General features: G+C 51.1%; 2 protein-coding genes and 1 long non-coding RNA gene across 15 annotated transcripts, besides 5 other annotated features; 2 read left to right on the top strand and 1 right to left on the bottom strand.

The window, feature by feature from the left end:
* Nucleotides 1–7983: 7983 nt before the first annotated feature.
* H3-4 (H3.4 histone, cluster member) lies at nt 7984–8499 on the top strand. Its single transcript, NM_003493.3, has one exon. The coding sequence runs from the start codon at nt 8019–8021 to the stop codon at nt 8427–8429; it is 411 nt and encodes a 136-aa protein (NP_003484.1). The 5' UTR covers nt 7984–8018; the 3' UTR covers nt 8430–8499.
* Nucleotides 8500–16482: 7983 nt separating this feature from the next.
* Nucleotides 16483–25409, top strand: TRIM17 (tripartite motif containing 17). 13 transcript variants are annotated; one of them, NM_001438323.1, is made up of 7 exons: nt 16483–16805; nt 18345–18700; nt 19452–19547; nt 22168–22398; nt 23933–23955; nt 24069–24172; nt 24593–25409. In NM_001438323.1, exons 2-7 carry the CDS (start codon nt 18353–18355, stop codon nt 25141–25143), a joined length of 1353 nt encoding a protein of 450 aa, NP_001425252.1. In that variant the 5' UTR covers nt 16483–16805; nt 18345–18352; the 3' UTR covers nt 25144–25409. The 13 variants fall into 13 exon arrangements, with proteins under 13 accessions (NP_001425252.1, NP_001020111.1, NP_057186.1 ...); NM_001024940.3 differs by having other exon boundaries at nt 18267–18700; NM_016102.4 differs by having other exon boundaries at nt 18231–18700.
* Nucleotides 16915–17024: a silencer, noted in NCBI's record as "silent region_1920". NCBI's record gives its function as "represses an Ori minimal core promoter by ATAC-STARR-seq in GM12878 lymphoblastoid cells {active_cell/tissue: GM12878}" and the evidence as "EXISTENCE:reporter gene assay evidence [ECO:0000049][PMID:35858748]".
* Nucleotides 20087–24073, bottom strand: LOC124904537 (uncharacterized). Its single transcript, XR_007066918.1, has 2 exons — nt 23610–24073; nt 20087–22659 (listed from the first exon to the last, which is right to left on the bottom strand). It is a non-coding gene; the product is annotated as an uncharacterized LOC124904537 (long non-coding RNA).
* Nucleotides 24947–25606: an enhancer, noted in NCBI's record as "H3K4me1 hESC enhancer chr1:228595439-228596098 (GRCh37/hg19 assembly coordinates)". NCBI's record gives its function as "activates a minimal SCP1, AML or CMV promoter by ChIP-STARR-seq in naive H9 embryonic stem cells {active_cell/tissue: H9 hESC(naive)}" and the evidence as "EXISTENCE:reporter gene assay evidence [ECO:0000049][PMID:30033119]".
* Nucleotides 25798–25847: an enhancer, noted in NCBI's record as "active region_2694". NCBI's record gives its function as "activates an Ori minimal core promoter by ATAC-STARR-seq in GM12878 lymphoblastoid cells {active_cell/tissue: GM12878}" and the evidence as "EXISTENCE:reporter gene assay evidence [ECO:0000049][PMID:35858748]".
* Nucleotides 26198–26267: a silencer, noted in NCBI's record as "silent region_1919". NCBI's record gives its function as "represses an Ori minimal core promoter by ATAC-STARR-seq in GM12878 lymphoblastoid cells {active_cell/tissue: GM12878}" and the evidence as "EXISTENCE:reporter gene assay evidence [ECO:0000049][PMID:35858748]".
* Nucleotides 26408–26497: a silencer, noted in NCBI's record as "silent region_1918". NCBI's record gives its function as "represses an Ori minimal core promoter by ATAC-STARR-seq in GM12878 lymphoblastoid cells {active_cell/tissue: GM12878}" and the evidence as "EXISTENCE:reporter gene assay evidence [ECO:0000049][PMID:35858748]".

Here is a 26507-nt window from a genome sequence, read left to right as displayed (position 1 = left end):
TTATATATTTTAGGAAGGCATGAGACATTAATCAAATATTAAGAAATATATTGGTTTGGTTCAGAAAGGCAGGACAACTCAAAGCAAGTGCTTCCGGGCTATAAGTAAATGTAAACATTTTCTGGCAGATAATTGGTTGAGCTTGTCTAAAGACCTGGGATCGATAGAAAGGAAATGTTCAGGTTAAAAATAAAGGATTGTGGAGACCAAGTTTTATTGTGCAGAGGAAGTGCTCAGATAGCCAACTTCAGAGACAGCAGGTTGTAAATTGTTTCTTATGGGACTTAAAAGGGTGCCTGGCTCTTAGTTGATTATCTCCTGGATCTGGAAAGAAAGGAAGGAAAACAAAGGGGAAAGGGGATTCTCTATAGAATGTGGATTTTTCCCACAAGAGATTTTTCAGGGCAATTTCAAGGCATGGCAAGGAATATATATTTTGGGGTTGAATATTTTTTCCTTGTCTCAAAATTTTATGCCAGAGTCAGATTGAAAAGTCAGTCACAATATATAGGGTCAAATAAAACCCATCTGATGAGAATTTATGGTTTGTAGGGGTTGACTCCCTAGACCCCGTAGGTGGGAATTTGGGTAAGATAAAAGGTGAGAGCTTATTTGGGTAAGATAAAAGGTCAGTGCTTAGTCCTCACTATGATACACCGGACAGTGTGTGAAGGAGCTCTTAGGGAAGTTTAAAGTCAGGAGGGGAGATGAGAACAAGGACCCTAGGTAAACAAAACTTCGGCTATAATAAACATGAAAAAGAGCCCAGTTTCGAGCCAGATGATGTAAATGCTCACGCTAACGGCCTATGTTCCCGATTTTTTTTTTTTAAACAGGGTCTCACTCTGTGGCCCAGGCTGGAGTGCAGTGGCACAGTCATAGATCACTGCAGACTCAAACTCCTGGGCTCAAGCGATTCTCTCACCTTGGCCTCCCAACGTGCTGGGATTACAGGCACACACGAACATGCCCAGCTAAGTTTTTTTTTTTTTTAATTTTTTTTTTCTTTTAGAGACGGGGTCTTGATATGCTGCCCAGGCTGATCTTGAACTCCTGGCCTCAAGCAGTCCTCCTACCTTAGTCTCCCAAAGTGTTGGGATTACAGGCATGAGCCACCACCCCCAGCCATACCAGAGTTCTGATTACCTGATACTTTATCTCCAGCTTCAACACAAAATGACAAGACGTGCCAAAAGGCAAGAACACACAATCTGAAGAGACAAACGAGAACCAGAACCAGACCCACACGGACCATTCCTGACGTCAATGTTTATTGAGTGCCTACTGGGTGCATGGTGCAGGTGTGGGAGTTATTTGGGGTCGTTGTGACCTGGGAAGCTAACAGGCCATTTGCAACAATAAGAACACAGCGCATTTGCCAAGTGCCTGTATAGGCCTTGTGCTGGCACTGTCACTGGGCCTAGGGGGCATCAGCGTTTGGCTCCTTCTCTTTTTTTTTTTTTTTTTGAGGCAGGGTCTCGCTCTGTTGCCCAGGCTGGAGTGCAGTGGCACAGTCTCAGCTCACTGCAGCTTCAACTTCCCAGGCTCAAGGAATCCTCCCACCTCAGCTTCCCAAGTAGCTGGGACTACAGTTGCATGACACCATGCCCGGCTATTTTTTCGTATTTTTTGTAGAGACGGGGTCCCACTATGTTGCCCTGATCTCAAACTCCTGGGCTCAAGCCATTGCTGGCCTTGGCCTCCCAAAGTGCTGAGATTTATTACAGGCATGAGCTACCACTCCTGATCATGAAGCAGGATAGTGTTATTAAAAGTAGACTTAGGTTGTAAATGTATATTACAAACTCCAGGGCAATCATGAAAACATTGAGAAAGAAGTATAATTGATGTGCGGAGAGAGGATGGAGTTTTATTACAGTGCAGTCATGGCAAATATCTTTGAAGACCCTTAACACCCATCACGACTTTGAAATGACAGTAGCTACAAATACTTCCTAATTCAAATGTTATTTAATGCATTCATAAAGATGCACATTTATAACTCTATGACAAGTTAATTTTATATGTTTTCACAACTTATTTCAATATAATTGATTTCCTTTGTATTAATAATTTTTTAACATTTTTGTGCATTTAAAAACTTTTTGGCCTGGCATGGTGGCTCATGCCTGTAATCCCAGCACTTTGGGAAGCTGAGGTGGGTGGATCACTTGAGGTGAGGAGTTCAAGACCAGCCTGACCAACATGGTGAAACCCTGTCTCTACTAAAAATAAAAAAAAAAAATTAGCCAGGTGTGGTGGCTGGTCCCTGTAGTCCCAACTACTAAGGAGGCCAAGGCAGGAGAATTGCTTGAACCCAGGAGGCAGAGGTTGCAATGAGCAGAGATCACACCACTGCACTCCAGCCTGGGTGACAGAGTGAGACTCCATCTCAAAAAAAAAAAGTCTTTCTAAGACAGAATCCATAGGCTTCATCAAACTGCGACAGGGGTTCATGGGACAACAAAAAAAGCTCATGGTGTGAGGAATTCTTGCCATCTATTCAAACTGAACAAGAAAAGAAATCTCCTTAATAAGAAAATATTCTAGAGCACCCAATCTGGATGGAAGTTCATCTTACCTGTTTAAGGAGAAAAATTTGCTTTAGTGTGTTCTATCATGGATAGATTAATACCTTGTTTTGCAGACAAATTTAAAAAGTAAAGAAAGAAAGAAGAAGACATTATAAAGGATCCTTCAGAAAAACACTGAACACATGGCAGGATTCTTTTTTACTATTGAGGCGGTGGGGAATCAGGACAGTGGAGACACACCCACGCTGGGGCCCTTAGAAAGTGGCTATGAACACAGCAAAGATCCGATTGTAAAAAAAACTGGCTACAGCCAACATACTCCCCTGCTTTAGAGATATGTCAGTGTTTCCTGCAGCTTCTGGAAGCTCCAAGGTAGATGACTGGCACTTGGCTCCGTCCCAATTGATGATGTGACTGTGGACTGACTGGTTCATCCCACAGACCGTACTGAAAGTCGTCTCCCACTGGCACCCTCCTGGACACACATGGAGCACTCACCATGCACCAGGCCCACAGAATGGGAAGATGGAACTTGGGGATGGTCAGTATGGACAGGACTTGTGAGGAGTTTCCTGCAGAGTGGGCCAGAGAAGTGGGATGCCAGATGGAAGGGCACATTGGATGGAGAGGGAAGGCGTTCTTTCTAACAAACAGTGGGAAACCCTAGTGCACACTGGCTTTGGAAGAGTCTTAGGAGGACAGAGCTCACCATCGCTTTGTGCACTGTTTACCCCAGACCTAGAAGGAGTGCCTGTTCCTGTAAGACCCCCATCTCTGCCCTTACAGTGAGTTTGTGAAAGTCCAGATGGTTTCAGGCTTGCTGCTGCCCAGACTAAGGAGAAAAGCCAATTTATAAATTGGAGAAGCGATAGCATATTGTTTGCTGATGGGAATGCTCCTACAGAGATGATGCAATATGACCAACCACGTACGACCCCCAAATCTCAAAGAACTTTAACACGAGGATACAAGTCCCGTTACTGCCTCAGCTGTACATGCAAAGACCATAAGGAGAGAAAACGAGGAGACAGAGAAAAAGCACTGATTTACAGAATGCGTGTGGCCTCGACAGACCAGTTCCTTGTGGGGAATGTTTGTATCTCACATTCTCTTCAGTTTGCAGAGGAAATCTCTCTTGGGAAGTTTTCAGGGGACATTTTTCTCTACGTCTTGGTCCTTCTAGGGGTTTTAACGACATAGAACTCAATGATTGGAGATCAAGAAAATGAACTGTTCAGCTAATCATCTAAAAAGCGCTTTTACATGTAATATAGAGGCTATTTTCAAGCCTTGCCAGGGGTGGGTGGGTCCGCATTTAGGCAGCCCTTTATTCTGTGCTTCATGTGAGTGCATTTGTTTGCTCAGACACATAGAACCAGGTGGCATCCTGTGCTATGTCTGGGTGGTTTGGGAGCTCAAAGCCCCTGAGAATCTAAAAGCAAAAGCCCTTATGACTGGAAAAGTGAGGTCGCAGACATGTGCCCAAAACCTATGAGCCTCTTGGCTGCACTCGGAGAACTGGCCAAGCCTGTGCCACACTCCACAGGGAGGCCTGGGTAGAGTCACGAGGCAGAAAGGGCTGCTTTGCAGGTGCTCCTGGGGAGGTCGCAGCAGGTGCCTGGAATCCATCATCCGCCCATCATCAGCCCCGTTAGCCCTAAGGACACCTGGAGAGTCCCAAGGCTGCCTCTCTCGAGTGAGGGACAGCTCCAGGAAGATGGAACGTGTCCAAATCCTCCCAGGCAGTTAAAGGGTTGAGCAGCATCTGGTCTGGCCAGGTCAGACCCCACATCATTTACACCAGGGGCGAGCCTGGGTGGACTTCACAGGTGGATGGTCCTAGGGTCCTTCCATCTGTCTGCCCAGCCAACCAGACCCGATGAGCAGAGGGCAGCAGGCCTTCTGTGTAACAACCACTGTCCAATAAAAAAACCAATCCAGATTTAGTAAGGAGATATCTTTATGCAAAAGGATATTGCAATAGGAGATACCAGAATACTGCAATAGGGAGAAAGCATTGACCTTAATGTCTGCAAGCTCCCAAAGGTGACGCAGAGAAGGAGTTTTCTTATATAGGGAGGAATGAATGAGGCTGGAAAGAACCACGTCTGGGGAAGTGGGATGAAGGGTGGCTGAGGGGACAAGAGATTGAGGATACTTTACCCTGAGCCTGGCCTGCTCCAGGAGAGGCCAAACATCAGGGCGTTGGGGGAGGGGAGAAGCTGAACCAAGGCTGGGCAAACAAGCATCTTGTGTGGATTGACGCATGGGGACAAGGAGTTCAGGTAATCATTGATAAGGCAAAGATGGCAATGTAGTGGGTGCTATAGTTTGAATAAGGTGTTTGTCTCATTAATTCTCATGTTGAAATTTAATCTCCAGTGTTGGAGGTGCAGCCTGGTGGGAGGTGCTTGGGTCCTGGGGGCAGATCCTTCATGAATAGACTCCTGCCCTCCCTTGTAGGGAGTGGAGTTCTTGCTCTATTAGTTCCTGCCAAAGCTGGTTGTTAAAAACAGCCCGGCACCTCCTCCTCTCTCTTTCCCTGTGACCTCTGCACACAGGGGCTCCCCTTCATCTTCCACCATGAATGGAGGCTTCCTGAGGTCCTCATCAGAAGCAGATGCTGAAGCCTTGCTTCTTATACAGCCTGCAGAACCATAAGCCAAAAAAAGTTTTGATAAATTACCCAGCTTCTAGTATTCCTTTACAGCAACGCAAAACAGACAAAGACAGTGGGCCTGTCATGCATCAACAAGGGGCGCTGTAGGGGAGGCAGAATTCTACCTCCATTATCTTAGGGTCCAGGGTGGGCCCAAGAATTAGACTGACATTAGAGAGATGAGCAGGAGAAAAACATACAGTTATTTAATACAAATTTAATGTGGTACAGGAGCCCTCATAAGGAAATGAAGATGCAAAGAGGCAGTTAGAGTCACTTATATACAGAGGTGGACAAACACTATTAAGTTGTGAGATTTGATACGGCCACGGGGCTTGAGTGAGGATAGTTAATGGGGTGAAGAAATGACTAAGTCAAAATACTTACACACTAGGTTGAACAAAGAGTAGTAACTGTGGCAACAACTAGGAAGATAAGGGTTAGTTTAATAAAGTTTGTTTGTATAGATTTCTCTTGGCTTCTATCTTGGTCTGTTTCATGTTGTTAAAGGAATACCTGAGGCTGGATGATTTATTAAAAAAAAAAAAGGTTTATTTGGCTTATGGTTTCGCAGGCTGTACAAGAAGCACAGTGGCTGGGCGCAGTGGCTCACGCCTGTAATCCCAGCTACTCAGGAGGCTGAGGCAGGAGAGTCGCTTGAACTTCCCGGGAGGCGGATGTTGCAGTGGGCTGAGATCACATCACTGCACTCCAGCCTGGGCAACAGAGTGAGACTCAGGTCAAAAAATTAAAAAAAAAAAAGCATAGTGGCCGGGCACGGTGTAATCCTAGCACTTTGGGAGGCCAAGGTCGGGGGATCAGTTGAACTCAGGAATTCAAGACCAGCTTGGGCAACATAATGACAGCCCATCTCTACAAAAAAATTAAAAATTTAAAAATTAGCTGGATGTGGTCCCAGCTACTTGGGAGGCTGAGGTAAGAGGGGCCTGGGCAACAGAGCAAGATGAAAAAAGGAGGGAAAGGAGGGGAGGGGAAGGGAGAAGAAAAAAAGGAAGGGAGGGAGGGAGTGAGGAAGGGAGGGAAGGAGAAAGGAAGGGAGGGAAGGAGAAAGGAAGGGAGGGAAGGAGAAAGGAAGGGAGGGAAGGAGAAAGGAAGGGAGGGAGTGAGGAAGGGAGGGAAGGAGAAAGGAAGGGAGGGAGGGAGAAAGGAAGGAAGCAAGCATAGGGCCCACCTCTGCTTCTGGTGAGGGCCTCTGGCTGCTTCTGCTCATGGTGGAAGGTGAAGGGGAACCCATGTATGTGCAGAGGTCACAGGGCTGCCGCGAGAGAGGACGCCAGAGAGAGAGGGGAGAGGGGTGCCAGGCTCTTTTCAACACCAGCTCTTCAGGGAACCAACAGAGTGAAAACTCACCCTAAAGGAGGGCAGGACTCTATTCAGAGGGTGACACCCCAGGACCCACACACCTCCCACTGGCCCCCCCCTCCCTGGGCTCCAACTTTAGGGATCAAATTTCAACTTGAGAGTTGGAGGAGATTTGGAAGCTTCCACCTCCCGTCCTTGATGATAAGAACGTTCCCTTGCTTTTACTATAAGGAGAACATCTTTCATATGGGAATTTCATCTCTTGTATTTAAGAAACAACAAGAAATTCAGAATGATCTTCCTACACCTGCTTCTTCTTTTTTTTTTTTAAGTGCCTTTATCTCAAAATAGACAATATGCCAGAAAGGCACATCTTTACCTTCTTCAGAATCCTAAGGCTCATCTAAGCCGTACAGGTAAGGGAGTTCTTTGCAGGTCATAAAAAGTGGGAGATTCCTTTAACTCTGGCTGCATCCCAGAGCTTTGTCACTGTGTAAAAGTGGAATGCCGGCCGGGCACGCTGGCTCACGCCTGTAATCCCAACACTTTGGGAGGCCGAGGCGGGCGGATCACGAGGTCAGGAGATCGAGACCATCCTGGCTAACATGGTGAAACCCCGTCTCTACTAAAAATACAAAACAAAATTAGCCAGGCATGATGGCGGGCACCTGTAGTCCCAGCTACTCTGTAGGCTGAGGCAGGAGAATGGCGTGAACCCGGGAGGCGGAGCTTGCAGTGAGCTGGGATTGCGCCACTGCACTCCAGCCTGGGCGACAGAGAGAGACTCCGTCTCAAAAAAAAAAAAAAAAAAGTGAAATGCCAGCTGGGCCTGGTGGCTCATGCCTGTAATCCCAGCACTTTGGGAGGCCGAGGCGGGTGGATCACCTGAGGTCAGGAGTTCGAGACCAGCCTGGCCAATATGGTGAAACCCCATCTCTATTAAAAACACAAAAAATTAGCCAGGCATGGTGGCGGACACCTGTAATCCCTGTAATTCCAGTTACTCGGGAGGCTGAGGCAGGAGAATCGCTTGAACCTGGGAGGTGGAGGTTGCAGTAAGCAGAGATCACGCTATTGCACTCCAGCCTGGGCAACAAGAGTGAAACTCCATCTCAAAAAATAAAAAAATAAATTAATTTTTTAAAAAAGTGGAATGCCATGTGCTGGCTTCTGGAAGGCTCTTGCCACCCAAGTCATGGGGAAGGGAGAAGAGGAGCGCTGAGAAGACATGAGGAAGCTTGTGCTGGAGAGAGATGATCCCCACCACCGCGGCCTACCCGCATCAACCCTTCACAATGCTGGTGCCAGCTCTGGTGGCCACGACCAACAGGCATGAATATAAGGGAGAGGCGCCCGAGTGGAGTTCCCTGTGGGCCAATCAGAGAGCAGTGGGCCATCACGCCACCTGAGGCCAGCCAATGGGAACGCGGCAAGCTCTATAAAAGCGAGCAATCCGCTGAGGTCTGGGCAGAGGACACCGCGGGGCCAACAGTTTCGGATTCATGGCCCGAACCAAGCAGACTGCGCGCAAGTCAACGGGTGGCAAGGCGCCGCGCAAGCAGCTGGCCACCAAGGTGGCTCGCAAGAGCGCACCTGCCACTGGCGGCGTGAAGAAGCCGCACCGCTACCGGCCCGGCACGGTGGCGCTTCGCGAGATCCGCCGCTACCAGAAGTCCACTGAGCTGCTAATCCGCAAGTTGCCCTTCCAGCGGCTGATGCGCGAGATCGCTCAGGACTTTAAGACCGACCTGCGCTTCCAGAGCTCGGCCGTGATGGCGCTGCAGGAGGCGTGCGAGTCTTACCTGGTGGGGCTGTTTGAGGACACCAACCTGTGTGTCATCCATGCCAAACGGGTCACCATCATGCCTAAGGACATCCAGCTGGCACGCCGTATCCGCGGGGAGCGGGCCTAGGAGGGCTATCTCGCCACCTGAGAGGTTGCGCAACGTTCACCCCAAAGGCTCTTTTAAGAGCCACCCACCTGGTCGAAGAGTTGCTGTAGCAAGCTAGTCTCTTGGGTTTCGGGGGGTTCCTTCCGCTGGCCTGTGCTGGCTTACCTACTTCTGATTAGGGTGGGAGGCTGGTGAATCCTGTGTTCACCCTGTCCAGTTAGGAGGCCAGCTACTCACACGCGTTACCTCTCAGCCTGTCTCCAGTCACAAATCCAGCTAGTAGTGTGTGGGGCTAACTTGGCCTATCCGTTTAGATAAGAATCATGGTTGGTCTGTTTTGGGGACGGGGTGTTGAGGGTAGCCTAATTGGTCTATCTCCAGTTAGGTAAGCAACCCCAGCTAGTTGTGTCAACTCAGCCTATCTACAGTTAGGTTGGAAGGCTGGCTGGTCTTGTGTGTTCTCAGCTCAGCCTCTTTCAAATTAGGTTAGAAGTCCTGCGTGTGTGTGTGTGTGTGTACACGCAGCTTGTTTCCAGTGAGGTTACCAGTCCAGCTAGTCTTCTGCCTTGACAGCCCATCTCCTGTTAAGGCCAGCAAGTAGTATGTATTATCTTGGCCTATTTTAAGTTAGAAGTCCAGCTACTTCACCAGCATAGCAGCTTACGCCTGTAATCCCAGCACTTTGGGAGGCCGAGGCGGGTGTATCACCTGAGGTCAGGAGTTCCAGACCAGCCTGGCCAACATGGTGAAACCCCATCTCTAAAATTAGCCGGGTTTGGTGGCGCATACCTGTAATCCCAGCTACTTGGGAGGCTGAGGCAGGAGAACTGCTTGAACCCAGGGGGCGGAGGTTGCAGTGAGCCAAGATCATGCCACTGCACTGCAGCGTGGGCAACAGAACGAGACTCAATCTCAAAAAAAAAAACAAAAAAAAGTCCAGCTACTTGTGTGTTTTAACTCAGCCTACCTCCTGTTAATTTAGAAGGCTGGCTAGTTGTGTATCTTTTTAACTTGGGCTATCTCCCATTAGGTTAGAAGGCTGGCTAGGGGTGTGTGTGTGTGCACGTGCACCCATGTGCACACATATGTAGCTGTGGTGTTGGCCCATCTCGGGTTAGAAGTCCATCTCATTGTATGTGTTAACATACCCAATCTCCCATTCAGTTAAAAGGCTGGCTAGTCATGTATGTTGTAAATTCACCCTGTCTTCTGTTAGGGTAGATGACTAGCTAGTTGTGTGTGAGAAGCCCAGCTAGGCATGTGCATTGTTAATTCCTAAGTGAAATCAATACTGGGAAACCCCAGCCCAAAGTTCAAAGAGGGCACTCTGCCCTGGAAGTCAGTTTACTGAGCAGTCGCAGACAGGCGTGGCCCATGTGCCCAGCACTTTGAAACAGGCTTCCCAGCGCCACAAAGTAGTCTGGCAGTGCTCTGGGGATGAGAGACACAGAGACCAACTTGCTGAGAAATCCTACAGCTAGGGCAGCAGGCCACAGATCCAATAGTAGACTTATGTCAGGAAAACCTGAGGATGGCTGTGAGGATAAGGATGTAGGGATTGTCTCCCTCTGGTACAGGTTGGAATCATTTATTTGTGAAAGGCTTTATTAAATTGAATGAGGCCAAGCACTACCCCATGCTGGGATCATGGAGGGAATAAAATCCATTTCCTGTGGCTGCTGCCCACTCTGCTTTCAAGGTGCTTATGCTTGAGTGAAGGGGGCCTGTATTGTGTGTAGAAGCAATGATAGTAAAAGGTGCTCTTATACATAGCAAGGGATGTGCATAAAGTGCTATCAATAGGCAACAGTGGATTTTATAAGTCTCTTTGAACCCAATTTATAGCCTGTTGACTCAAAATTCAAAAGCTTCATCAATTTATTAGTACACACACAACTGAACATCATACCCTTTAAATCTCAGGATGTATTTAAACTTATGAGTGCCAGATCCTTGGAGGGCTATCCAGAAAGCCTAGAATATTCAGGGACAGCTATGTTCTGGTTTTGAAAGTCAGCTCTGACTTTCAATACTAGACTCCTTTGGGATAAATTTAAGTTTTCCCTTTTTGTTTTGTTTTTTCAGAGACAGGGTCTTGCCATGCTGCCCAGGCTAGAGTACAGTGGCTATTCACAGACGTGAGCATAGTGGCCAGCCTTGAACTCCTGGGCTCAAGCCATCTTCCTGCCTTAGCCTCCCGAGCAGGTGAAGTTCAAGTCTTCTGTGCTTTACAAAGCCCTTGTCCTAACAAAGTCTTGCCCAGTGGTGGAGAGCTAAACCTATGTAACCTTGCTGATGATCTTGCTGGATAGCCTGGAGGGAGCAGGAATTTGGGCAGTTAGCTACATTTGCGGAACTGGATGCAGATAATGCATTCTTGACAGGATCATGATCAAGCTTTGCCTTCTGTAGGAGACCAAGCCACTTAAGCAGCCCCCTGTCATTCTGGTCTTTGTATGAAGAACAGAGTCTAAGTTGGGCAGTGTGGCACATGCCTGTAATCCTAGCTACTGGGGAGGCGAGAGGATGGCTTGAGCCCAGGAGTTTTTGAGGCCAATCTGGGCAACAGACCCTGTCAAAAACAACAACAATAACAAAAACAACAACAACAACAACAAAAAACAAGAGCTTGGCCTTATATGTTCCTTGTTTTCACTGATTAATGGAGTGGATAGTGCACTAATTGTGCCCTATAAAGATACAGCAAGGCAATACAGGGCAATTTGTATCTCAGAACTGATTGCTGAGGACCTAAGGTGAGGAGCTAAGGAAGGAAGTTTAGACACAGGAAAAAAGTAACTGAAGTCTTTCTGGGTCGTGTAAGTGGGCACTTGAGGAAGTCTTTCCAGCCAGGCATAGTGGCTCATGCCTATAATCCCAGCTTTTTGGGAGGCTGAGATGGGAGGATTTCTTGAGGCCAAGGAGTTCAAGACCAGCCTGGACAACATGGCAAGACTCTGTCTCTACAAAAAATACAAAAATTATCTGGGCATGATGGCGTGTGCCTGTGGTCTTAACTACTTAGAAGGCTGAGGTGGGAAGATCGCTTGAGCCCAAGAGTTCCAGGTTACAGTGAGCAGTAAGCCGTGATCACACCACTGCACTCCATTCTGGGCAACAGAGCCAGACCCTTACAATTACGACCAGAGCCTTTGCTTCTGTATCCTGTGGGTTCTAACGATGTGAGATAGTAACTGAAATGTGGATATCTGTTCACTGTGTACTCAACTCTTCGAGCGCATGTACACTATGGAGGTAGCCTGAGCATGCAGTGTTTATAAAAGTGGAAAGAGTGGTTCTAAATATCAAAAAGTTAAAATTCCAGAAATAATAGAAAGGAGAGTTAGGCATTAAGAGATAGTGCTATGGGCCTTGGTGGACTGAACAAAGGAGGACAAAAGTGGGAATAAAGACAAAGACAAAAGAGTATATTTGGAAAAAGGGGTCAGGGGGCTCCTTGCTTCTAGTGAACAAGGGCCCTGAGCTTCTAGAGCCCTTCTTATTAAGTAAAGGAGACAGGGATAAGGGGGTGGTTGTGGTCAGCTGCTTGACTTAGTGCAGGCCTGCATGACTGCATTCTTTGAACAGTAGGCTCCAGATGTCCCAGTAGATAACCTCAAGGAGCACAGAGCCAGGGAATGAGGCCCTCAGCGTACCTTCTGGTGGCAGGCACAGATGCGAGTTTGCCCACATCCTGCATTCATGATAAACAGTTTGCTGTTTAGTCATATAGCCTCCAGTGGAATGCTGAGTTGGTCACGACCCTCAGGCTTTCAGCTCCCAACAAGATAGCAGAATAGACCTCCCCAAAATATGCAGATTTGATATAAGAATTATTTTGAGCTGAAGGCACTTGAAGAACAGCAGGTGTAAGAAGGGCCCTCTGACCCCTTTTCCTGAAAGCAGGTGATGAACCCTCCATGGGAAAGGTGCTTGCCTCTACCAGCAGGGAGAAACAGCATGACTAGGCATGGGGACTGAAGTGCAGCAAAATGTATACAAACAGGCTTTGTTAAAGTAGCTCTTATCGCCAGGTAGAGTGGCTCATGCCTGTAATCCCAGCACTTTGGGAGGCCAAGGCAGGCAGATCACCTGAGGTCAGGAGTTCCAGACCAGCCTGGCCAACGTGAAACCCCGTATCTACTAAAAAAACAAAACAAACAAAAAAAATCAGCCAGGTGTGGTGGCGCGCACCTGTAGTCCCAGCTACTTGGGAGGCTGAGGCAGAAGAATTGCTTGAACCCAGGAGGTGGAGGTTGCAATGAGCCACGATCACATCACTGCACTCCAGGCTGGGTGACAGAGTGAGACTCTGTCTCCAACAAACAAACAAACAAACAAAAATAGCTCTTACCTTCCCCAGCCTCCCTAGGTATTCCAGTTGCTTTCTCACAATTACTACCCTTTGTTCCATCCAGTGGATAAGCACTTAGGCCTAACTACTCTTGAGGTCTTCATTTTGCTGTGAAGGCTCCCATGTACATGTACAAATGAAATGTGTATGCTTTCTCCCATTAATCTGTCTTCTTTCGTTTTAGTCTATGCAGGCTGCTATAACAAAATGCTATGGCTTGGTGGTTTATAAGCGACAGGAATTTATTGTTCACAGATCTGGTGGCTGGCAAGTCCAAGGTCACGGTGCCAACAGATTGAGCTTCTGGTGAGATTCTGCTTTCTGGTTCACAGACAGGGCCTTCTCACTGCGTCCTCATGTGGTGCAAGGGGTAAGGTGAAAATAAATCTCTGGAAAGGCACCAATCCTATTCATGAAGGCTCCACCCTTATGGCATAATTACTTTCCAAAGAACTCCATCTCCTAACACCATCACCTTGGAGGTGAGGATTTCAAAATGTGAATTTTGGAGACAGACATTCAGTTCATAACAATCCGGATTTGTTTTTCTGTGGCTCAGTGGACTCTCCTGTTGAGCAGTCTGAATTGAAGACATAAAGAGGCCATGGCTCTCTTACCCTATTTTCAGGAGCCCCTCTTCTTTTCCATTTAATTCAGCCTATTTTAAATTGCATGAGCACTTAAATTTTGCTCTCGAATCTTTTCTACAATGTTAATAACTTAGTGGGGGCTGCATTCAGTAAGGGCAAAGGATATTTACCTTGTAGCAGTGTAAGTAAGACTTGTGTTTCAAGACTGACATTGCTGATCCTTTGCTTAAATAATTTGAAAAAAAAAACCACAATCCACAGCAGTGGTATTTAATTTAAGAATTAAATTATTAAAGTAGAATTCAATTTAAGAATTCCAAAAGGATATATAGTGAAAATTGAGCCTCCCTCAATTAGGGGGTTCCTCAGCCCTTAATTTCCCTCATCAGATGGAGTTTCTTGTTTATTTCTTGTATATTTTCCAAGAGATACATATACAGTAATTATGTTTACCTAAATAGTGGCAGACTACATATACTGTACATCCTGCCTTTTATTAAACCTAACAATTTATCAGGACACATAACTGCTATCTGATTTTTTCTTAATGACTTGAGGATATGAAGGTTATTCCAATTGTTTTATCATGATGATAGATTTCTCAGCTCAATAACCAGGTGAGCCTAAAAAGCATTAATAATGAGCATCCTGGGCTGATGCCACATTTTAACAAGTATTTGTTGAATTCCCCACATCATGCTAGTATGGGAGGAGACTGTGAATTAAATTGACCAAAGACAGACGAACAGGAGAAAGGCATCCATGTTGTATTGATCTTAATATTTTTATATGCATGGGGTGTACAGGAAAGAAGTGAAAACCCAAAGAAGTTGTTAGGCTCAGCTGCTTGTAAACCATTTGTAACAAAGGGTGATAACGTGTCAGCAGGTGACTAGGACATGTGTGGTGCTATGCAAGATATAGATATATTCCATTTCCCCTCTAATTCTGTGATTCTGTTTTCCCAATTGAAGGAAACCTGCAGCTCACAATCCCCTCACTGATGCAAATGACAGGCAGAGGATTGGGTCTGCCCAATCCCCAATTTATTGGGGAAAATAAATCTTGGGCCCCAAAATCACTAGCTAAAAGGAAAAGTCAAGCTGGGAACTGCTTAGAGCAAACCTGCGTCCCATTCTATTCAAAGTCATATCTCTGCTCACTGAGATAAATGTATATCTGATTGCCTCTTTTGGAAAGGCTAATCAGAAACTCAAAAGAATGCAAACATTTGTCTCTTATCTACCTATGACCTGGAAGCCCCCTCCCCACTTCCAGTTGTCCCGCCTTTCTGGATGGAACCAATGTTCATCTTACATATATTGATCGATGTCTCATGTCTCCCTAAAATGTATAAAACCAAGCTGTGCTCGGACCACCTTGGGCACATGGCTGTGTCATGGGCGTGTGTCCTTAACTTTGGCAAAATAAACTTCCTAATTGACTTAAACTAGCCTCAGATATTCTGGGTTCACAAGGGTAATTCACTTAATCGGCCAGTGTGCGCAGCCAGCCCGCACCTGACAGCACACAGACCCCTTTGTGTGTGCGAGTGATGAGAGACCACAGAAGAAACACTCTACCGAGTGAGCCCAGGGAAAGCCAGCCATCTATGCCTGTGGCCAGCTGTCTACACCCGCACACCCAGGAGATTGCAGAATGGTGCCTCTTAGCCTTCAAGGCCCTGTTTTCCTGCCTGTCTGCACCCCCTGTGTGGGCCAAGCCTTAGTTTCTTCATCTGTCCTCTCTCTCCAATCCCAGGACTCTGACTCAGGGCACGCAGGCCTCTGGCTCCTGTTCCTGAAAGCAGGAGATGAACCCTCCATGTGAAAGGTGCATCCCTCTACTGGAGGATGAAGCGTGATGACTAGGCGTGGGGACTCAAGGCCAGGAGAAATGGCCACCAGTCAGGACCTGGGCAGGGCTGGGGGCGGCATTTTGGCTGAAACCGTAAGAGACTTTTAAACCAGAGCAACTCCATCTTGTATAGAGGCTGGGTAAAATAATTCTGAGACCTGCTGGGCTGCATTCCCCAGAGGTTAGACATTCCAAGTCACAGGATGGGATAGGAGGTTGGCACAAGATACACGTCATAAAGACCTTGCTGATGAAACAGTATGTGGTGAAGAGGCCAGCAAAATCCCACCAAAACCTAGATGGCGACCAGAATAACCTCTGGTTATCATGACTGCTCATTATATGCTAATTTTAATACGTTAGCATGCTATGAGATACCCTCACCAGTGCCACAACAGTTTACAGATGCCAAGACAAGGTCACAGTTACCCTATATGGTCTAAGAAGGGGAGGAGCCCTCAGTTTCTGGAATTGCCCTTCCTTTTCTGGGAAACTCATGAATACCCCACCCCTTATTTAGCATATAATCAGTAAATAGCCATAAAAATGGGCAACCTGTAGCCCTGGGGGCTGGTCTGCCCATGGAGTAGCCACTCTTTATTCCTTTACTTTCTTAATAAACTTGCTTTCACTTTACTCTATGGATTTGCCCCGAATTCTTTCTTGCCCAAGATCCAAAACCCTCTCTTGGGGTCTGGATCAGGACCTGTTTCTGGTAACAAAACCACCTGGGGTGTCGGCAAGACCCACCCCGTCCCGCCTGGTTCTAGGGGACCTGACCTGCCAGGTGGTCCCTCCAAACTGGTCCGCCCACAGGATTGGGACGCCCCTCCCTGTACCCTCAGCCTGATGCTGACTGCCAACCATGTGGGCAGACCTGGCGGCTGACTGGCTGCTCCTGGGGACCCCCTTCATAGCTTCTCAACAGGCACTCGCTCCTGCTGCCTCGCCCCCACCCCAGCCCACACAAACTCCTCTCCATCCCCTACCCCGACCAACTTAGCCCCTCACCTAACCCTCCAGCCTGGGGCTCGCGTGCCCTCCCGCAGCCCCAACCCCAGGTTGAGAAGCCTCTTCCAATCCCACTCCCCCCACCCTGACGCTCGCCTGCCCGCCCCTAGCCCCACCAGCTGTCCCCATTCCACTCCCCACCCCCAAGTAACCCCCCAACTCCCCACCCTCCACACTCCCTTAACCTCCCCTAAAAGTCCCACCCCAGGCCAACAAGACTCCTCCCTTCGCTGGGCTGTGGACCACATCCTCCCCACCGCCCAGTCAGCACCCGCTGCGCCTGTCCCCGGCTCGTCCAGAGCCTTCCACCCCCTGCCGCCTTCCTTCCCCAAGCCACCCCCAACCTCTCCTAAGAGGCGCCGCCCCAGTCCCGGCCGCCGAACACTCCCTCGCCCAGCATTCCCCTCCCCCGCCGCCCCCCAGCCCCCGCTGACGCCACAAAGTCCCTAGGCCTCCCGACCCCAGGTCCCCACGCCCCGGGCCGGGCCGCAGCCTCCTGGGCTTCGTGGGGGCAGACCCAGCCTTTCCCGGCAGCGAGCGCTCGGCCAGGTGCACTAGGCGCTGTGCGGGCCCCCCTTCCCCGCGGTGAGTAGCCCCCACCCCGCCGCCTAGGCTACCCTCCTGTGGCGCCTGGGCCACGACCTAAGCCTAACCCGGTCCTCCTCGCCCTCCAACGCCCGGCCTTCCCGCCTCCGCCGGCCGCCGCGTCCCTGGAGGGGCTAGCGCGCTTCAACAAGGTAACTCTACCGGGACCCTAGCGGACCAGAGCGGGAAGGACAGCCATCCCGGCAGCCAGAGCCAGAGCCCCAGGCCCGCTGCCGCTGTCCCTGCCCGGCTTCGGTCAGGGTGGGCTGGGTGCCTCCGTTAGGGCTCTTGGGGGGAGTCGGAGGGCTGGCGCCGGGTGGTTGGCGTGCAGAAAGCTCCGAGAAACTGGACGTGGGACAGAGCCGGGGAAGTCTGAGACCCCTAGACGCCCTCGCTTTAGGGGATGGCAGAACGGAAGGGGAGAATCGTGCTTGCAGTGTAGACGCGATTTTCAACTCCTTCTGCAACTCGGTCCCCATAGCAACCCCGTGGCGTAGGCGAAAGTCTGTAGATCTCCACTGCGTGGGGTCGCGAGTGTTGAGATTGCAGGGGGCATCTATGTGCATGCTTGTGTGCCTGTGCGTGTGTGCGCGCGTGTACCTGTGTGTACATGCATGTATGTTTACCGATATGTGCATCTGTGCCTGTGTGTGCTGTGTTTGTGGATCAGTGTTTCTGTGCGTACATGTTTGTATTTGTGTGGTGTGTATGCGTGGGTATGCGTGTGTGCACATGCACGTTTGTATACATACATGGGTATGTGTATGGGTGTTCGTCTGTGCGTACATGCACACGCGTGTTTTTTCTGAACCCCACCTCACTACCGAATGGAAGAGAGCTTTTTTCCTCTGATAGCCCATCCCTTCTTCCTTTGGTGTACGGGGTTTTGTTAAAGAAAAAATTCTGACATTTGAAAGGCTCTTTAGTCAGGCTACTTGCAATGGGAGAGTTGCGCCAGCAAAGACAGCTGGGGATGTATGGGGGAGTTGGAGTGGGGATCTGGGTGGGGTCAGTGGATGGAAAGTGATTAAGGGAAGGCTCCAAGGGTAGGGGCTTCTCCCTAAGCTGACCTAGCAGGCTTCTCCAGAAAGGCAGGTTGAAGGCCTAGCCGGCAACGGTCTGTCGGGGAGGAGGAGCTGATGAGATGTGGAGCTGGGGGTAGCCAGCAGCAGGCGGAAGTGGACGGGTAGGGTCCAGGCCCAGTGGAGAGGAGAGGCGGAGGGGCCTGCAGAGCATTGGTCAGGGAGGGTCTGTGTAGTTTCTGGGGAGGCATCTGTGTCTGTTGTTGACAAGGCTAAAAATGATGACTCTGGACTCTCTAACTGGACTGCAGTCCTAGCCCTCCTCTGTAAAGGGAGGCTGTACAGGACGGTTGCACACTGCCGGCGCCCAGATCATCGGGCTGCTCCCTCCAACTCTCTCCAGAGTCCCTCAAGCGGGAACCTGCCTCGTGTCTCCCAGGAGCCATGGAGGCTGTGGAACTCGCCAGAAAACTGCAGGAGGAAGCTACGTGCTCCATCTGTCTGGATTACTTCACAGACCCTGTGATGACCACCTGTGGCCACAACTTCTGCCGAGCCTGCATCCAGCTGAGCTGGGAAAAGGCGAGGGGCAAGAAGGGGAGGCGGAAGCGGAAGGGCTCCTTCCCCTGCCCCGAGTGCAGAGAGATGTCCCCGCAGAGGAACCTGCTGCCCAACCGGCTGCTGACCAAGGTGGCCGAGATGGCGCAGCAGCATCCTGGTCTGCAGAAGCAAGACCTGTGCCAGGAGCACCACGAGCCCCTCAAGCTTTTCTGCCAGAAGGACCAGAGCCCCATCTGTGTGGTGTGCAGGGAGTCCCGGGAGCACCGGCTGCACAGGGTGCTGCCCGCCGAGGAGGCAGTGCAGGGGTACAAGGTAGGCCACATCGGGGCCCAGGTCAAGGGGCCGGGGAGGAGGCATCCAGGGGGACAAGGTGACCCAGATCATGGGGGAGGGAGGAGGTGTCCAGGGACAAAGTGGCCCGAGTCAGGGGCTGGGGAGGAGGCATCCAGGGGACAAGGTGGCCTGTGGCTGGGTAGGGGTGTCCCTGGGGACAATGTGGGCCTACACTGTATGATGCAGGCATTGCAAAATCTTACCTCTCCTCTCAGAGTATTTTGGGTGGCTCTGAGAACCAAACTGATTTGAGACAGATAAGCAGAAGCAAAGCACTGAAATTCATTCCCTGTAAGCTTTCCATGACCCAGGAGTCGCTCCCAAGGAGCCAGAGGCCCATGGAAGCATGTTAGAGCCAAACATGTACCTGAGGAGGATGAGGGTTAGTTTAGCAGGGTCCCTTTGCACAGATTTCTCTGGTTTCGGCTTTCCCGCCCTTGGTAAGAACATGGCTTTCCTCCTGGCCTAGGGCAGTCCTCTCTGGCATGGTGGCTGTGCCTTCTGCTCTTAGGAAGGCCGAGGGTCACAGCAATTCTTACACCTGCCCTTTTTTAAGTGCCTTCAGCTCAAAATAATCCAAGGTGGCACATTCTGGGTGACGTATTTTGATCCCCTGCCCCTCCTGAGGAGGGTCTCTGGGGTGGGTGCAGTTTCAGCGAGCACAACTGGACTCTAGGCAGGAGGTAGGGGGATCGCTGATCCCAAATCCTGCGGTTTGTGTGTCCCACAGTTGAAGCTGGAGGAGGACATGGAGTACCTTCGGGAGCAGATCACCAGGACAGGGAATCTGCAGGCCAGGGAGGAGCAGAGCTTAGCCGAGTGGCAGGTGGGTGCCCAGGGCTGTCCAGTCCCTTTCCTGCTGCTGCTCCATCTTCCTGCATTTCCACGTCTGTGTCTGCCCGTGGGGATATGCTGCCGCAGTGGCAGGAAAAGAAGAAAGTTGCCTCTACCCTTCTAGGTTCTGTGGCTGGCCTCAGAATGAAACTGACTTAAGACAGATGAACAGCAGAGAAAAAGATAAAAAGGCAATTTTAAATTACAGATGCACACATAGGGTGGAGAGAAGGGGCCTCAAAAATCAGACTCAAAGAGGCAGCCAGAGGGTAGGGGCTCAGTACCACAAAGGAGGCAGCCAGAGGGCGGGGGCTCAGTACCACAAAGGAGGCAGCCAGAAGGTGGGGGCTCAATACCACAAAGGAGGCAGCCAGAGGGCAGGGGCGTAGGTCAGCACCACAAAGGAATAGGGCTTGGGGGCCTCTGGGCTGGGGAGGCAGGTGATGTTGGTTAAGTATTTAAACAAGTGTCTCAGGTGAAGAGTTGTTTTTGGAACTCTCTTTCTGGTATAGATGCCTTGACCACTGGAAATTCCTTCATGAAAGGGCACTTTTTAATTTTTTTTTTTTTTTTTTTTGAGATGGAGTTTCACTCTTGTTGCCCAGGCTGGAATCCAATGGTGCGGTGTCAGTTCACTGCAACCTCTGCCTCCCGGGTTCAAGCAATTCTTCTGCCTCAGCCTCCCAAGCAGCTGGGACTATAGGTGCCCACCACCATGCCCGACTAACTTTTGTACTTTTAGTAGAGATGGGGTTTCACCATGTTGGTCAGGCTGGTCTTGAACTCCTGACCTCAGGTGATCTGCCTGCCTCGGCCTCCCAAAGTGCTGGGATTACAGGCATAAGTCATCGCGCCAGGCCAGGCACTTTATTTTTTTAGGCAGCTAATGGGGGAGGCAAACAGGTTTTCCTGCTTCTGCGGGTTCTCAATGGCCTTTAGTTAACCTTAATCCTAATGCCTGTCAAAACACAAAATTAAAACAGATTTAGAGATCTTTGTTGTTATTTTTTGTTTTTTTCTTGAGTCAGAGTCGCTCTGTGGCCCAGGCTGGAGCACAGTGATGCAATCATAGCTCACTGCAGCCTCAAATTCCTGGACTCAAGTGATCCTCCTGCTTCAACCTCCTGAGTAGCTGGGACTACAGGCACTTGCCACCAAGACCAGCTTTTTTTTTTTTTTTTTTTTTTTTTTTTGTAGAGACAAGGTCTTGCTATTGCCCAGGCTGGCCTTGAACTCCTGAGCTCAAACTATCTTCCCGCCTCAGCCTCCCAAAGCACTGGGATTACAGGCGTTAGCCACTGCACCCAGCTAAGAGAAAAGATTTATTTGCAAGGCCACTGAGTGAAGAGGAGGGAGAACAGCTCTTAAACCTGCCTCCCAAGTGATACAGCTTGGGAGTCTTTATGAACTACGGAGGCAGGGTGGTCCAGCAGGCCCATTCTGTGCAGGTGTCGTCGGGGTGCATGGCATTTCACAGGACACAGGTACCAGAAACGGCAGCCTTAGCATGATCTGAGGTTGGAAGTTTTGGCCCTCTCACATCAAAAGGCCACCTCGGGCACTGGGACAGGTCCACTTGAAGGGCAGATGGTCTCAACTGGTTTCAGCTGGACAGGAGCTGCCCCACATTCCTGAAGCGACCAGTCCCATGGTGACCTGTGAATATTATCTATAAAGAGCCAGTGAAGGGTGGGCGTCAGCATTCAGAGGCACAGCCTTCAGCTTCATGGAAAAAGGAAAAACAAAATAACAAAAAGCAATCAGGGCAGGCTGACCTGATCAGTGAACCCCTTGGTTTCATTAGCACCAGTGACTCCATTCTGGTTGGGTCTGGTCTTCTAGGACCCAGCGCAGGAGCCCAGTTCAAAACAGTGGCCCCTGAGGATCACCTGAGCCCAGGAGTCTGAGACAGCAGTGAACCATGATCATGCCACTGAACCCCAGCCTGGGCAACATAGCAAGACCCTGTCTCTACAAAAAAATTAAAAATTAGCTGGGCATGGTGGTGGTGACACATGTCTGTCGTCCCACTTCCTTGGAAGGCTGAGGTGGGAGGGTCACTTGAGGCCAGGAGGTCAAAGTTGCAGTGAGTTGTGGTTGTGCCATTGCACTCCAGCCTGGGCAACAGAGCAAGACCCTGTCCCTACACAAAATTTAAAAACTAGCTGGATGTGGTGGTGCATGCCTGTGGTCCCAGCTACTCAGATGACTTGAGCCCAGGAGGTCAAGGTTGCAATAAGTGCCACTGCATTCCAGCCTGGGCAACTGAGCGAGACCCTGTCTCAAACAAAACAAAACAAAAAACAATGGCCACCCATAAATTTTGTTTAACATGCCCAAGAGGCTTATCTGGGGGTGGACATTCTGAACCTCCTCAGAGCAAGGGTGCATGGGTGTTTGGATGTGTAGAAGTTGCAGTTCGGGGCTCGGAGGGTTACACTCAGTGTATCACAGGATGGCAGAGGTGGGGGCCTCTGTCACAGTTCCTGGTCCCCAACTAAAGCTCCAGTTGCTGGTGATCTTGTGGGTCACCAGGGCCCTGGGGAGAGGTGCCAGCATCCCTGGAGCTGAGCCACCTGCTGGCAACATGCTGGGCTTCTCCACTCCTGCAGGGCAAGGTGAAGGAGCGGAGAGAACGCATTGTGCTGGAGTTTGAGAAGATGAACCTCTACCTGGTGGAAGAAGAGCAGAGGCTCCTCCAGGCTCTGGAGACGGAAGAAGAGGAGACTGCCAGCAGGCTCCGGGAGAGCGTGGCCTGCCTGGACCGGCAGGGTCACTCTCTGGAGCTGCTGCTGCTGCAGCTGGAGGAGCGGAGCACACAGGGGCCCCTCCAGATGCTGCAGGTGAGCCAGTAGGCTTGGCAGGCAGGGTGGGATGTGAGCTCTGACAGGCATGGGCAGGGGGCGCTGGGCTTGGGGAAGAGGCAGCCAACGGGAAAGGGCTGTTAGCTCCCAGTCTGCTAGTCCTGGAGGCTGGGTGGCTGAGGCCAAGGTGCGGGCAGGCCTGGTTCCTCCTGAGCCTCTCTCCTAGGCCTGAAGATGCCGTCTCCTCCCCGCGTCCTCATGGCATCATCTCTCTATGCACGTCTCTGTCCTAATCATCTCCTTGTATAAAGACACCAGTCAGACTGGATTAGGGCCCACCCCAGTGACCTCAACTCCCTCCTTAAAGATGCTATCTCCAAACACAGTCACATTCTGAGGTCCTGAGGGTTCAGGCTTCAACCTGTGAATTAGTGGGGACACAAGTCAGCCCCTTACAGGTTCCAACCTGAGACAGTGTCCCCATTTCCTTCCAAGTCCAGAGAGGTGGCTTGGGACACCTGGCAGCCAGGTGTGGCTTTGGGACAGGGACTCCATGTCTCGGTGTGGAGGAGGTGCACTGTCCCAGGAGTGAGTTGTGTGGCAACGGCAGTGGGGAGGTGAAGCAGCCAGCCTGTCTGCCGGGACCAGCCTGTGTGCCATGGCCCTGGAGAGGGGGCTTGATTACGGCTGATAAGACGCCATCTCTACAAAAACTTAAAAATATTAGCAGGGCATGGTGGCGTGCGCCTGTGGTCCCAGGACTCAGGAGGCTGAGGCAGGAAGACTGCTTGAGCCCGTGAGTTCAAGGCTGTAGTGAGCTATTGCGCCACTGCACTCCACCCTGGGTGATGGTGAGATCACATCTAGGAAAAAAAAAAAAAAGGAAAAGGAAAAACAAAGCAGCCTGTTCACAACCCACTACATTGGTTTGCTGACCAACTGAGGGAAAAGCCCCTGCAGCTGGTAGAAGGGTGCTCCTATGAGCAGAGGGCCAAGCGCGCCACCTGCATGAGAGTCCCTGCCTAGAGTTAGGGTCACGCTCTGGCAACTAGAAATATGGCCTTTGGAAAACAAGTCCCTTGTAGCTTCCAGGCCAGAGAAGTAAACAGTGATCTCTTTAGGGAACTCTGAATCCCTAAAGAGGCTACAGAAAATCCCCAGGTGCCTCAGTCTCTTACCCACCCCCCTCCCTCCCCAAACTGCACCCAATTGCGCCCCCACCCCATTCCTGCTGAGTGGGCTGCACCCACCTGAAATGGGAGAGGAGGGTCAGTGTTGAGTGGCCACTTGCCTGGAAGGGGTCCCTCCGCCTCTCCTGAGTTGCAGGACCTCAGGCGTGTGGCCGTGGGCTGACAGGGTAGCTCAGCTTAGGTGAGGCACTGGGGGCTCTGGTGGTAGTGGGAGCTAGGGCAGTGGGGAAGGCTCAGGAGTGCCATGAAGCTCAATTGTGGGAAGGGAATGCCCAGGGGACAGGATGGGTCTTGCCCTAAGACACGGACAAGAAGGGAGCAGGGACATTGAGGTGAGCCAGGAGCTTGGCTCACTCCCCACCCTCCGTCCCTGTCTTTTGCAGGACATGAAGGAACCCCTGAGCAGGTATGTGGTCCCCTCAGGCAGGGGCGGGGGCAGTGGCAGCGGTGGGCGGGGGGGACAATAAGACTGTCGGGCCAGGGGAGTCAATAAGACTCCCCTGTGTGTGCCCACCGGAGGAAGAACAACGTGAGTGTGCAGTGCCCAGAGGTTGCCCCCCCAACCAGACCCAGGACTGTGTGCAGAGTTCCCGGACAGATTGAAGTGCTAAGAGGCTTTCTAGGTAAGTGGGCACCCAGGGCCAGGACCTCTGACCCAGGATCTCTTGGCGATGCCCCACTGTACCCCCTAGCCTCGGAAGCCACCAATGGGGGGGGTTCTACAAGTGCACTGCCTGGTGACGGTCACTGGCTATTCACTGTGCCTTCGTAGGGCGGCGTTACTGGTGGTTCTAATTCATGGGATGAATCTTGTTGAGTTCCCAGTGGTCTCTCTGCCCAGCCCCCTGTACCTTATTGCCACCAAGGCCCACACACAATTGGTGTGTGGAAGCATCAAGTAACCCCAGATTCACAGCAGGGGAGGCCTCTGCGGAGTTAGGGGACCATTGGCCACATCCACCACTAGGGCCCGGGGACTCCCACCTTTGACCCTGAATGCCCCACACCTCTCCCCATCTCTCCACCACCACGCCCATCTACAGAGGATGTGGTGCCTGATGCCACCTCCGCGTACCCCTACCTCCTCCTGTATGAGAGCCGCCAGAGGCGCTACCTCGGCTCTTCGCCGGAGGGCAGTGGGTTCTGCAGCAAGGACCGATTTGTGGCTTACCCCTGTGCTGTGGGCCAGACGGCCTTCTCCTCTGGGAGGCACTACTGGGAGGTGGGCATGAACATCACCGGGGACGCGTTGTGGGCCCTGGGTGTGTGCAGGGACAACGTGAGCCGGAAAGACAGGGTCCCCAAGTGCCCCGAAAACGGCTTCTGGGTGGTGCAGCTGTCCAAGGGGACCAAGTACTTATCCACCTTCTCTGCCCTAACCCCGGTCATGCTGATGGAGCCTCCCAGCCACATGGGCATCTTCCTGGACTTCGAAGCCGGGGAAGTGTCCTTCTACAGTGTAAGCGATGGGTCCCACCTGCACACCTACTCCCAGGCCACCTTCCCAGGCCCCCTGCAGCCTTTCTTCTGCCTGGGGGCTCCGAAGTCTGGTCAGATGGTCATCTCCACAGTGACCATGTGGGTGAAAGGATAGACACAGACCGGGGGACTCGGGCACTGCTCCTGGCTCTGCAGAAGGTGTGGGCCTTCTGCTTACTGCAGGCCACCTGCCAGGGTTCTCTGGCATCACGCTGGCAGCCATTAGACACACAGGGGGGTTTCTCAAATTCTAAATATAATTGTGATTAGAACTGTCAAACATTAAGAGGGTATACTGACAGATGCTTCCTAGAGGAAACTTTTGAAAGCCCCTGCGTTCTGAGTGGACCGATTTCTAAATCCATACCTACACACCAGGAACAGCGTGGTCACGTTTTTTTTAGCCATGCCCCCACCCCCACTTTGGAATGACAGGAATCTGTGGCTCCCAGCCCCCCCAGGGGTTTAGGTTACTCTGTCAAAGAAGTAGAAATATCCTATGGTGGGGAGGAGCGGGGGTGGTTGCTGTGTCAGGGATGGTCCCAGGCTGCCCATAGAAATGTCCTATGCATCCTATTGGGTCCTTCGATGGGGGAAAATGGGAAAGGCTGAACCCGTAAAAAGCCTCAGAGCTGCCCACCCCCATCCCGTTCGATCCCCAAAGTTGCACGAGCAGGGGCAAAATCCCAAAGAGATTAGGATTTATGTAGGGGCCTCTTTTCCACAGCGCCCTTACCTTTTCCAAGGAACCCCCCACCCACCCCTGCAGGGTCAAGCACTTTAACAGCCTGTGTCAGTCACTAGCAAGGCAGAATTCCAGAGTAAGCGTACTCCTACCTCGACAAAGCCGGAGTGTCTGCGCGAGGGGCTGCCTGGAACAGCATGCCCCTTTGGAGTGGTTCCCGCAGAAAGAATGTGGGCCTCCTGGAGAGCTGGTCCTGGAGGGATGCCCCCGTCCCATCCCCCAACTCCAATCATTCTGACCTTGGCCTGCCAAGGCTGTGAGGGCCGGGCCTTCCGAGGATACCCGCCCTGGGAAGCACGGGCTGAGGGGGTGAGGACGCACTAGGGGTATGGCGAAGGGCTCCAATGCCCCAGGCTGCGGACTCCCTTAGTCCTTGCAGTTGCTTCCGTGTGCCCCGCCCTGAGTCCCCATCCCTCCTTGCCCTGCCCCCTGCTCCATCCCTCCCCTGCGCCCCGCCCCCTGTCCCCATCCCTCCCCTGCGCCCCGCCCCCTGTCCCCATCCCTCCCCTGCGCCTGAGTCCTCCCCAGGGCAGGGGTAAAAGACCTGGCCACAAGAACCGGAGCGGTGGTGACGCCAGGTCAGCAAGTGAAAGCTCTCCAATTCCGTCCCGCCCGCGGGCCGCGTGACTGGCAGCGGCCAATCGGAGGCAAAAGCGGGTTGTTCCAAAAAAAAAAAAAAAAAAAAAAAAAAAAAAAAAAAAACACACAAAACCCACCCAGTCGCTTCCTGCTTC

This window comes from Homo sapiens, chromosome 1, assembly GCF_000001405.40.
Source record: "Homo sapiens chromosome 1, GRCh38.p14 Primary Assembly".
NCBI lineage: Eukaryota > Metazoa > Chordata > Mammalia > Primates > Hominidae > Homo > Homo sapiens.
This window is presented reverse-complemented; position numbering and strand designations above follow the sequence as displayed.

Coding starts and splice junctions, on each gene's coding strand:
- H3-4 (NM_003493.3), top strand. CDS start 8,019: ATGGCCCGAACCAAGCAGACTGCGCGCAAGTCAACGGGTGGCAAGGCG.
- TRIM17 (NM_001024940.3), top strand. CDS start 18,272: ATGGAGGCTGTGGAACTCGCCAGAAAACTGCAGGAGGAAGCTACGTGC. Junction 19,548..22,167: donor AGAGCTTAGCCGAGTGGCAG/GTGGGTGCCCAG, acceptor CCACTCCTGCAG/GGCAAGGTGAAGGAGCGGAG. Junction 24,173..24,592: donor AGTGCTAAGAGGCTTTCTAG/GTAAGTGGGCAC, acceptor GCCCATCTACAG/AGGATGTGGTGCCTGATGCC.